The 12,576-nt window shown below is 42.5% G+C and overlaps 1 protein-coding gene across 24 annotated transcripts in view, besides 1 other annotated feature; it reads left to right on the top strand.

The window, feature by feature from the left end:
- Window positions 1-12,576, top strand: part of AIG1 (androgen induced 1) — a 284,671-nt gene that overhangs the window by 114,483 nt on the left and 157,612 nt on the right. The window lies entirely within an intron of this gene.
- Window positions 3,003-3,503: an enhancer, noted in NCBI's record as "H3K4me1 hESC enhancer chr6:143497835-143498335 (GRCh37/hg19 assembly coordinates)". NCBI's record gives its function as "activates a minimal SCP1, AML or CMV promoter by ChIP-STARR-seq in naive H9 embryonic stem cells {active_cell/tissue: H9 hESC(naive)}" and the evidence as "EXISTENCE:reporter gene assay evidence [ECO:0000049][PMID:30033119]".

Raw genomic sequence — 12,576 nt, forward strand, 5'->3', positions numbered from 1 at the left:
GAGGGTTCCTTTTGGAGTTGATTTCCAATTTTATTCCACTGTGGCCTGAGAGAGTACTTGATATAATTTAGATTTTCTTAAATTTGTTGAGACTTGTTTTGTGGCCTATCACATGGTCTATCTTGGAGAATATTTCATGTACTGATGAATAAAATGAATATTCTGCAATTGTTGGGTAGAATGTTCTGTAAATATCTGTGAAGTCCATTTGTTCTAGGGTATAGGTTAAGTCCATTGTTTCTCTGTTGACTTTCTGTGTTGATGACCAGTCTAGTGCTGTCAGTGGAGTATTGAAGTCCCGCACTATTATTGTGTTGTTGTCTATCTCACTTCTTAGGTCTAGTAGTAATTGTTTTATAAATTTGGGAACTCCAGTGTTAGATACATATATATTTAGGATTTTGATATTTCCCTGTTGAACTAGTCCTTTTATCGTTATATAATTTCCCTCTTTAAAGCAACTGCTGTTGCTTTAAAGTCTGTTTTGTCTGATATAAGAAAAGCTACTCCTGGCCAGGCATGGTGGCTCACGCCTGTAATCCCAGCACTTTGGGAGGCCAAGGCGGGTGGATCACGTGGTCAGGAGTTTGAGACCAGCCTGGCCAAGATAGTGAAACCCCATCTCTATTAAAAATGCAAAAATTAGCCAGGCGTGGTGGCAGGCACCTGTAATCCCGGCTACTTGGGAGGCTGAGGCAGGAGAATCACTTGAACCCAGGAGGTGGAAGTTGCAGTGAGCAGAGACCATACCATTGCACTCCAGCCTGGGTGACAGAGTGAGACTCCGTCTCAAAAAAAAAAAAAAAAAAAAAAGAAAAGCTACTCCTGCTCACTTTTAGTGTCCATTTGCATGGAATGTCTTTTCCTACCCCTTTACCTTAAGTTTATGTGAGTCTTTGTGTGTCAGGTGAGTCTCCTGAAGACACCAGATACTTGGTTGGTTAATTCTTATCCATTCTGCCATTTTGTGTCTGTCTTTTAAGTAGAGGATTTAGGCCATTTACATTCAATGTTATTATTGAGATGTGAGGTACTATTCACTTGGTTGGTTAATTCTTATCCATTCTGCCATTTTGTGTCTTTTAAGTAGAGGATTTAGGTCATTTACCTTCAATGTTATTATTGAGATATGAGCTATTATGCTATTCATCATGCTATTTGTTGCCTGAATACCTTGTTTTTTTCATTGTGTTATTGTTTTATAGGTACTGTAAGATTTATGCTTTAATGAAATTCTAATTTAGTGTATTTCGAGGATTTATTTCAAGATTTAGAGCTCCTTTTAGCAGTTCTTATAGTGCTGGCTTGGTATTGGCAGATTCTCTCAGCATTTGTTTGTCTGAGAAAGACTATATTTCCTTCATTTATGAAGCTTAGTTTTGCTGGATACAAAATTCTTGGCTGATAATTGTGTTAAGGAGGCTAAAGATAGGACCCCACTACCTTCTAGCTTGCAGGGTTTCTGCTGAGAAATCTGCGGTTAATCTGATAAGTTTTCCTTTGTAGGTTACCTGATGCTTTTGCCTCACAGCTCTTAAGATTCTTTCCTTTGTGTTGATTTTAGATAACCTGATGACTATATGCCTAGACTGTGATCTTTTTGTGATGAATTTCCCAGATGTTCTTTGAGCTACTTGTATTTGGATGTCCAGATCTCTAGCAAGGCCAGGGAAGTTTTGCTCGATTATTTCCTCAAACATGTTTTCCAGATATTTGGATTTCCCTTCTTCTTCAGGAACACCAATTATTCTTAGGTCTGGTCATTTAACACAATCCCAAACTTCTTGGAGCCTTTATTCATTTTTTTAAATTCTTTTTTTATTTGTCTTTGTTGAGTTGGGTTTATTCAAATGCCTTGTCTTTGAGCTCTGAAGTTGTTTCTTCTACTTGTTCAGTTCTATTACTGAGACTTTCCAGTGCATTTTGCATTTCTCTAAGTGTGATTTCTTCATTTCTAGAAGTTGTGATTATTTTTTATTTATGCTATTTCACTGGAGATTTTTCCATTCATATCCTGTATCAATTTTTGATTTCTTTTAAGTTGGATTCCACCTTTCTCTGGTGTGTCCTTGATTAGCTTAATAATTGACCTTCTGAATTCTTTTTCTGGCAATTCGGGGATTTCATCTTGGCTTGGATCCATTGCTGGTGAGCTACTGTGATCTTTTGGTGGTGCTAAATAACCTTGTTTTGTCATGTTACCAGAATTGTTTTTCTGGTTCCTTCTCATTTGAGTAAACTATGTCAGACGGAAGATCTGGGATTCAAGGCTGCTGTTCAGATTCTTTGGTCCCTCAGGGTGCTCCCGTGATGTGGTGCTGTACCCCTTCCCCTAAGGAGGGGGCTTCCTGAGAATCGAACTGCAGTGATTGTTATTTATCTTCTGGATCTAGCCACCCAGTGGAGCTGCCAGGCTCTGGCTTGGTACTGGGAAGTGTCTGCAGAGTCCTGTGATGTTATCTGTCTCCAGGTCCCTCAGCCGTGGATCCCAGCACCTGCTCTGGTGGAGGTAGCAGGGAAGAGAAGTGGACTCCATGAGGGTTCTTGGCTGTATTTTTGTGCACTGGTTTTGTGTTGGTTGGCCTCCAGCCAGGAGGTGGCGCTATGAAGAGTGCATCAGCTGCGGGAGTATAGGGAGGATATAAACTTACCCTAGGGTCGCCTTTGGGTAAGTATTCAAGTTTCTCAGGTGGTGGGGCCGGGCTATAGATCTCTCAAGAGATTGTTTTTTGTCTTGGGCTTCCAGGACGGGTAGAGAAAGACTATCAGGCTGGGACAGAGTTCAGCATGTCTGAGCTCAGACTCTTCTTCGGCAGGGCTTGCTCCAGCTGCTGTGGGAGATTGGGGGTGTAGTTCCCAGGCCAAGGGGGTTATGTTCCCGGGGGGGTTATAGCTGTCTCTGCTGTGTGACACAGGTCACCAGGGAAGTGAGGGAAAGCCATCAGCCACAGGCCTCACTTAGCTCCCATGCAGCCTGCTGCATGAAAAGCTGGTCTCGCTCCCACCTCCCACCATGCCACCCCCAACAGCACACAGTTTATTTCCAGGCAGCTGGTGAGCAGTGCTGAGAACTTGCCCCAGGCTACAAGCCTCCCAGCTGAGAAAGCAAGCCAACTCACAGTTCCTCAGCTGTCCCACAGGGCCTGCAGCGGCAATCCGCCTCCTTCAAAGGGTCTGTGGTTTCTCTTGGCTTTCCTGGTATGTTCCTGCAGTAGTTCTTGGAGCAAGTTCATGATGTGAGTCTCCACACATGGCTTTGTCTGAGTGGGAGCTGCAGGTTAGTCCTGCCTCTTATCTGCCATTTTTTCCCCCGCATTCTCCCTAAATGGATTATTTTAAAAGAACTGCCTTCAAGTTCAGAAACTCTTCTGCCTGATCTAGTCTATTATTGAAGTTCTCAATTTTATTTTTATTTCACTCACTGAGTTATTCAGTTCTAACATTTCTGTTTCGTTCTTTTTAATGATATCTATTTTTAAAAATTTCTCATTCAGATTATGAATTGTTTTTCTGATTTCATTGAATCTATTTGTGTTCTCTCGTATCTTCCCAGGTTTCCTTAAGATTGTTATTTTGCATTTTTTCAGGTGATTTTAGATTGGTTTTCCTTTGGGGTCTGTTACTTAGAGAATTGTTGTGTTCTTTTGAAGGTATCACGTTTCCTTACTTTTCCATATTTCTTGTTTCCCTATGTTGATATCCATGCGTCTGGTGACACATTGCCTCTTCTGATTTTATGGAGTAGCTTTCATAGGGAAAAATGTTTTTCTGTATATGTATACGTATCATAAATATACAGTTGGGTAAGGTGCTTTGGCTTTGGTTCAGTATGGGGGCAGTAATGTAGTCTCTGATTTCTTCAGCTATAATCAGCATCATTGGTGTCTGTGAGTACCTCAGTGGCCTGTGCTGTGGTTGCTTGTAGAGGCTATTGCACGGCTTTGCTGAGAGCAGGGACACCAGGCAGATCAGTTTGGGGGCTCCGGCAGTAGGGAGCATGGGTGTATGGCAGGTCTACCACTGGAGTGGGCAGGTTCTCTGACAACAGTGGGCCTGGGTGGCTTCATCACTGGAGGGGTCAGGGTCACTGGTGATGGCAGCAGCCCTGGACAGCTGGTCCTTGGGTCCCTGAGGGATGCACTTGAGCATGAAACCGATCTGCTGCTGGAGGGGCTGGGGTCGCCAGTGGTGGCATATCTTGGCCAGGCTGGTTCTTTGGCACCTGGAGGGCATGTGTGGGTGTGCAGCAGTTTTGCTCTGGAGGGAGCAGGTTGCCATCAGTGGTGGGCCTGGTCAGGCGGATCCACAGTCCTATGGGAGGGGCGTCTGCTCTGCTACTGCAAATGTTGGGGTTGCTGGTGGCAGCAGCAGCAGGCTTCAGGCAGGTAGCTCTTGGATTCTGAGGAGTGCGTGCATTGCCTCCCTCTTTTCCGTGGGCAGCCTTCCCACTGTATTAGACTGCCTGTTTTCTAGGGTGTGGAAATACTGTGTGTGCTCAGATTCTGGGGTCTTGGCTGCACAGCTGCTATCATGACTCTGCATCCCTCTGGGTGGATGTGGTGGGATGTCCCAGGGACCCCAAGGATGTGGAGATTTAGGGGTTTTTGGGCCCCAGGGCAAGATGCACACTGGTGGTGGCTCTGCTCTCAACATGATGATGTGCTGTGGCAGCCTGTGTCCTGCGGGCATGGGACCCAGCTTGATTTCCTCTATGGAACAATGCAATCACATGGTTTCCAGGTAGCTCCCTATACTGAGCTCAGGGCCTGTCAGGGCTGGGGGCTCTCCTCTTATTAGGACTACAGGCATCCAGCATGGAAATGTGGACTGCTGGGGATCTTCACCTTACCTTTTTCCTGTGCTTGAGGTCTCTCTGGGCTCTGAGCCGATCCTAGCCAGATGCTTTGCTTCCGTGTCTATGCTGCTGTCCCAAGTCTCCATCCCCAGAGGGGCTTTGTCACTTCTTTGCTGAATTCCAGTGTTCTCCCCTAGACTCTCTGTTCAACATGTGACTGGAGGAGGTGAATGCTGAGTACCTCTAGTCAGCCATCTTGATGATGTCTTCTGTAACTTTTCACTATTTCTGCAAATGGTTATGATACTGTAGGCCTGGCTGCCTGTGCTATAAATGGGGGAGTAGGTCTCTTTGTTGGAGTTTGTAAGGATCACTCCGTTATGGCCCCAGAAATCACACTGGGAGAGACATAAGAAATTAAAGGATCTGTTATATATACTCACAGGACTTAGGGACAAGAGGCATGGCAATCCCCACCACATAGGGCCCATATAGGAGCTCTGGGGAGTGGGCTCAACCAGGTAGATGGGGAGGGGAGAGAGAGAGAAAACCCATGGATAAGTGCCTTTATTGGGGGCTTGAGTAGAGTACACAAACAAAAGGTGTGAGGGGATTTCACTGATGTGTTTGAATGTCACTAGACCACTGTCAGGAGAGGGCTAATGGGAACTTGTGACAAGTACCAGCATTATCACACTGGTGCACCTGGTCACCTGGTTGGAGTGCTTGTAACCTGCTGGTGGGGGATGTTGAGGGATTGGGAAAATATGAATTTTTAAACATTTACAGTATACAGTCATTGCCTGTTGAGATCTGTATAATTAAAAGAATTCCAAGAAAGAATGCACACTTTTCTTGTGTGCAGAATCACATTCATTATTTGAAGAGTCTCTACATAGTTTCTAGGAATCTACAGCCCAGGACCACAGAACTGAGATATAGTTAAGTGTATCACGACACCATTTCAGAACACGTCATCAACTCGGTCTTGAATTTGCAGCATTCAACTGCCCAGCACAAAATTAGTGAGAAAACAGGCATAAGAAAGCTTACAGGATCTGAAATCCACAGGGCTTTCGTTTTTGATTTACACTAAAGTTTTAGAAGTTAGACATGATTATCATGAAAGGAGAATGTCATATCCCTTCCTTTCTATTGTCTACTTTTTTTTTCTCAGCAACCAATCCTAGAATTTATTTGAAGAGGAGAAGAAATGAGTAAATCGATGAATTAGAAAAGTAACGCAATCTTTTTGTATAAATACTAAGTTATCTCCAGGATCTATGAAAATATCAAAAGAGAGAATTATTGTTTTAATTTATTGTAATTAAAAATATAAGCATATACAATATAGCACATTTAAATGGAGCTGGCTCAATATCTAAAATCAAAAATCGTTCTCTCCTTATAGCCTATTTAACTTTATATTCTCAGCAACTTGCAGCACATGACAAACATTAGGCATTCAATAAATGTTGGTGATTGAAAGAATGTTTATGCATGTGCTTTTGAAACTTGGAAGAATGTCACATTTACATTTCTATCCTTCCACCGTCTTTCTGTCCTCAGTCCACTGATGATCAGATGAAAGAAAAGCACAGGTGGTGTTAGCAAATGAATCAGAATTTCCAAACTGTAATGCAGGTGGCCATGGACAGTTGTAGGAGAGAGTTCTCCATGGCCTGCAACATGTGGACCTGGACTTTGATATAATTCAATCTAACAAACATGTATTGTAAATCTATGATCTGCAAATCACCCTGATAGATATTGTGAGGCTGCAGGATGAGAAAAACACAAAACAGATGCAGTTTTAAAGGTTGGAAATGGCATATTTGAGATAGAAGAAGGCAAGTAGGAAAACAGCTCCGCAAGCCAACAGCATAGTCCCCAAAGGGCCATTTTCAGTTTGACAAGGAGAAGCACTGTCGTTATTCTGGCCTGTTTCCTCATTGCAAAAATAGAACCATGAACCTTTCTCTTCTGCTGATAATAATTTTAAAGCATTGTCAGTGAAGTAAATATATACTGAAAGCAATAAATAAATAAATATTTAAACTCCAGAAAGATTGCTGAGCTTCAGTGATGCTATAACAGGAAATAACAACAATCAGATAGTGCCTCGGCTTACTGAAGAACTAATTCATGTTTATAAAGTGCTTTCAGAATGCAAAGCACTGAAGAAGGTTAGGATATTATTATTATTACCAAAGATCTTTAAGCAGACAAGATCTTGGTATTCTTATAATCACAGCAGGAGTTGTTCATTTCCCATGTAATTTATGAGGAGAAAAAAATAATAAACCCCACCCCTCTTCACACTTGATTTGTCAGTTGTTCTTGTTATATGAAACTGATCCTCAAGGGAACCTTAATTTAGGCAACGATTTATTCTCTTCAATATTATTTTGACATTTGGTAATTACTACAGATTTTGTGCATCTGTCTTTCCCAGAAGAGAAGGCATTAAATGCCACTTGGATGATCATTGGTTTTGCAGGAACTCAGATTTGATGTTATTCTTTTGGTAGATAGCATGACTTATGGTAAGTTTCCAGCTCTGGGATACACAGATTGTGCCTTTCATTACTCATGGAGTCTGTGCCACACTGATATTAGATATTTCATAAAAATAAGCTATTGGTTGAAAGAAGAATATCTTAAATATTTCATATGAAAAAAAACTGGCCTTTTCCAATTTTCCACACGTATTCTAAAGTAACTAAGATATCTGGAAATTTTCAAAAATGAAAGTAAGAAACTGGAACAGAGATCAGAAATTCCTTAGGAACCTCTCTCTAGGACTCTCAAATGGACCTCCCAAAGAAAACAAATAAGACCCCCAAAAACCAGGAACAAGGAGAGTTACATCAACAATGAGTCAGATGCTTTCAGAACTGCTTCATGCTATTCCTGTACATAAGCTTTTTTCTTATCAAATTTTATGGATGATGATAGCTTCTTCCATTGTAAATTTTCATCTGTGATCATTAGTTCTAACAAGTCCAGTCCTCCCATGTTAGATTTTGCAGATTTAAATTTTAATATGAAGATTTGATTATTTTGTTTATTCAGATCAGTAATAAATTTCAAGGCATTTACTTTTGGCTATTGCCAATGATATTTTTTATTTGTTATTTTAACCAGAATATTATAAACTGGAAAAAATGTATTATTTTTAAGATGATGTCTGAATGAATTGTGAACTACTTTGTGAGATAGAAAGACAAGGAAAACTGGAGGGAGAAAGGGGAGACAGGGAGAGACCAGGATGGAGAAGGAAGAAAGATAGAGGAAAAGAGAAAAAGAAGGATAGTATCATGAATGAGAAGATGTGAGACGGCCATAGAAAAGAGGAAGACAGGATAAGAAGTTGGAAAAGGGGGAGACCAGAGGAGAAAGAGGGTTAAAAATGTTCTAGCATAAAGAAAGCAGAATGGCAGAGTCAAATCATACACTTCTCCATGGCTACTTAAGGTTTAGGGATTAATTTTTTCTCTCTTTCTCTCACTCTCTCTCTCTCTTTTTTTTTCTTTTTTTTCTTTTTAAAGACAGAGTCTCACTTTGTTGCACAGCCCAGGCTGAAGTGCATTGGTGCAGTCATAGCTCACTTTAACCTCAAACTCTTAGTCTTAAGGGATCCTCCTACCCCAGCCTCCTGAGAAGCTCAAACTACAGGCACACCCCACCATGCATGGCTAATTTTTAATGTTTAAAATTTTTTGTAGAGCCAGGTTCTCACTATGTTGCCTAGGCTGATCTCAAATTTCTGGACTCAAGCAATCCTCCTGCCTCAGCCTCCCAAAGTGCTGAGATTACAGGCATAAGCCACTGCACCTGGCCTTTTTTCTCTTTAGTGCCTGGTATAGTGCCTGGTATATTATAGGTACTCAATAATCATTTGATGAATCAGTAGATGTTAATGGATCAAGCTAGCCTCCTTCTGGTTCCTTGAGCACCCCAGGTACACTTCTCTTCTTGGACTGTGTCCCCAGAGATTTGCTTAGTTCACTTCTCTACCTCCTCCTCACCTTTTTAGTAATACCTACCCCGAGCAGCCAATTAGGAACTGCAGCTAACCCCATACTCCCCACTCACTGAAATCCCCTAACCCTGCTCCCCCTTCCCATGGCACTAATCATCCTTGATATATAATGTGGTTTTGCTTATATGTTATATTTATGGTTTATTGTCTATCTTCCCTTGCTAGAATGGAATTTCCATAGGGTAGGGGTCTTTATTTCAGTTGCTGATTTATCCCAAATACCTAGAACAATGCCTGTACAAAATGGACAATGAATATTTGTTGCATGAGTGAATCATCCTTATCAATATATGTCCATGTTTTCTCTTGTTCTCTTTTTCTCTCATTCATTCTCTCCTCCCCTTCATAATAGTTGACAGAGAATACAACCTCAAAGCATTTACTTATTTTCTAACTTGTATTTAACGTCACTCTTCAATTTCAGCTGCACTGCAGCAAAATCCTGCACACATGACCTGCTGTTCCCAGAAAGGGTCTTTTTGTGCATATTATATTGCCATTTTTGCCTGAGAAGGCCTGGACTGATGTCCAAAGAACATTCCAGAACACTGCAGAGCTACAGGTCAGCCTGGCTCAAATTTGTTGAAAAGCTCTTCTACATATTAATTGTTTTATCTGGGTATTAGTTATTCTCTCTCTAAGGAAATAATCGGACAATGGCTTTTTTTTTTTTTTTTTGGAGACGGAGTCTCGCTCTGTCGCCAGGCTGGAGTGCGATGGCGCAATCTTGGCTCACTGAAACCTCCAACTCCCTGGTTCAAGTGATTCCCCTGCCTCAGCCTCCCAAGTAGCTGGGATTACAGGCATGCACCACCACACACAGCTAATTTTTGTATTTTTAGTAGAGAGGGGGTTTCACCATGTTGGCCAGGATGGCCTCAATCTCCTGACCTCATGATCCGCTTGACTTGGCCTCCCAAAGTGCTGGGGTTACAGGCGTGAGACACCACGCCCGGTCAGACAATGGCTTTTTAAGGCAATTTCATGCCATCACAAATCCCTCTGGAGAACTAATTTGCCATGCTAGGGTAGAATTCAAGGCTAATGCTATTATTTGGCTTGTACTCTGCCCTTGTTGTTGCTTTGTTTAAATGATGAGTAGGCCCAGCAATAGTATTAGTTCATCAAAAAGTCTATAAGTTATATTCAGATAGTTTGAGGTCAGCAAAACCCAGAGTGTGGTTTACACAAGTGCTTTCTCCCCTAATCCTTAAATCCATAGATATTTCAAAGTAAACTTAATTCATATGTTTTCCATTCATTTGCCCTTAGGTCTTTATGTTTAGGGGAGGGGGTGGTGGAAGGCAGGAAGGTACTGTTCTAGGAACTGGCTTCCTTCTTCACTGCCACAGACAGATCATTCATTAGCCACAGACCTGGTTTCTTGGCAGAAGTCCATACCTGTATCCTTTCCAGTTCCCTGTTAATTGAAGCTCCAACCTCAGCACACATCATTGTTGCTGCCAAAGAAAGTAAAGTGGAAAGAGGCTGCATTTTCTATCATAGAACCACAGAATCCTAGAATCCTAAACTTGTGATTCTAAAGATCATCTGGTTCATCTACCATGTGAACCTTAAATCACCTCGACAGTATCCTGGCTAATTACCTTTCACCCTCTGATTAAGCATCTCCAGTGATGGAGCTTCAATAGCCAATAGCTTTAGGAAAGACTCTCAGAAGGAACTGAGTCTTGTTTTCTGCAGCCCAAATTTCTCCAGTCCCTTCATCCATTCAGCAAGATTTAAAACCAGTCCCCTGTGTTCCCCTCATGTTCTCTTTCCACGAAGATTTCACTCTCTCCCATGATTTCAGGTTCTGCACTACGTGTGTCCTTCCCTGGTCTGTGCTTCCTGATCCAGCTACCCCGTGGGCATCACATTCTGCCTCTGATACAAGGACCTTGAGATAAACCAAACTGACTGCTTAAGCTAACCCCTCCTTTAAATCTTGTTATTTGTCTTGTGTTGCCATTTCAAAAATGGCAAGATGCATCTCAAAGCTCCTCTTCCTATCACATCCCCCACAGTTAGGTGACAGATCCTATCAGCTGCACCTCCAAAATAGGTCCCGGATCGGCCCCAGCTTCCTCATGTCCACCATGTCTGCTTTAGTTTAAGATTTGGTCGTCTCTCAGCTGAACTGAGGCAGCAGCCTCGTCTCTCATCTCCTGGCCTCTGCCCTCTTTCTTCACCAGTCCCTTTTCCATGTTGCTTCCAAGTTTACCTTTCTCCAGATCATGGAGATAGCAAGAATGTGTTTATGGCCTCCCATCCTCATCTTATCTTTATGCTTCTTTATCCGGGTCTTGTGGAAAGATGGTCAGCTAAAGAGAAGCTAGGACAAGAGTGTGGCAACCCCCAATAGAAAATATTCAATCTCGGCTGAGTGCAATGGCTCACGCCTGTAGTCCCAGTACTTTGGGAGGCCGAGGTGGGCGGATCACAAGGTCAAGAGATGGAGACCATTCTGGCCGACATGGTGAAACCCGGTCTCTACTAAAAATACAAAAATTCGCTGGGTGTGGTGGTGCACGCCTGTAGTCCCACCTACTTGGGAGGCTGAGGCAGGATGCTAACTTGAATCTGGGAGGTGGAGGTTGCAGTGAGCTGAGATTGTGCCACTGCACTCCAGCCTGGCGACAGAGCGAGACTCCATCTCAAAAAAAAAAAAAAAATTCAATCTCATATATTTTTCATGACCCTTTGATTCTGAATCTGATCTACTGAATTTGTCCCCAAACTACCTGGTCCTTGAGGGATACTGAGGTGCTGGCTGACTTCCCTGAGCCCATTTATGCCTCTTCTTAAGGTGCAGCTTGTCCAGGAGGTCCTCAGCATCCTCCCTGCCCCCTTTAAGCTGTGGCTAACACAGCACTCCAGCCACACTGTACAGCCCCTGCACACTGCGCTCCTGAGCTGAGTGGTTGCAGAGCCCTTGTCTCCCATTCAGAACTCTGCTTATCAACTCCGAGTGTGCTCATGCATGCATCACCTCTCCAATGACATCACTTGCTCATGCATGCATTGCTTCTCCCCTGCCTATCCCTTATTTATGAGCCTCTTTATCCAGCAGGTACCTCTCCTGTAGCATCTGTTGTGCTGTATTTGTAGTTTGTTGCTACATTTTTTGGAAGTGGTTGTCCTTTGTGGGCAGGCACATGGTCTTAGCATCCTCTGCATATTCCATTATCTGGCTCGGTGGCACATAATAGGTCTCAAAAATGTTCTTTGAAAGAATGCATGAATGAATGGTTGAGGGAATGAACTTCTATCACATTTCCTTATTCTCCAAGTCTAGTAACACTTTCTGGAAAGGAAATACAATTATTTTCTCTAAGTGAACCTAAGCCGGTACCTATGATCATTTAATTTTCTACATCCTTCAGTGAGCCATTCTAGTCTTTCAGTGATTCATCATAGAACCTTATAGAACCCTTGTCAAGCTGATTGATTTATAATTTTCAGGATCCATATTCTTCTTTCAAACAAACAGCACAGCTATATCTGATGGCCTCCAAGTGCCCAGCCTAATAACTTGCCCAAGCGCTCACAGCCCATGAGAGCCAGGCTGGGAGTGGACCATTCAGGGGCTGCCCTATCTGTACCTGTGTGCCGTGGTACCTGCCCTCTCTGTACCTGTCTCCATGGAGCCTTGTAAACATCTAGTTAGAGATGCTGCTAAATTTAAATTGTCATTATATTTCACCAAACATATTTCATTAAGTCACTGATAAAC

This window comes from Homo sapiens, chromosome 6 (assembly GCF_000001405.40).
Source record: "Homo sapiens chromosome 6, GRCh38.p14 Primary Assembly".
Lineage (NCBI taxonomy): Eukaryota > Metazoa > Chordata > Mammalia > Primates > Hominidae > Homo > Homo sapiens.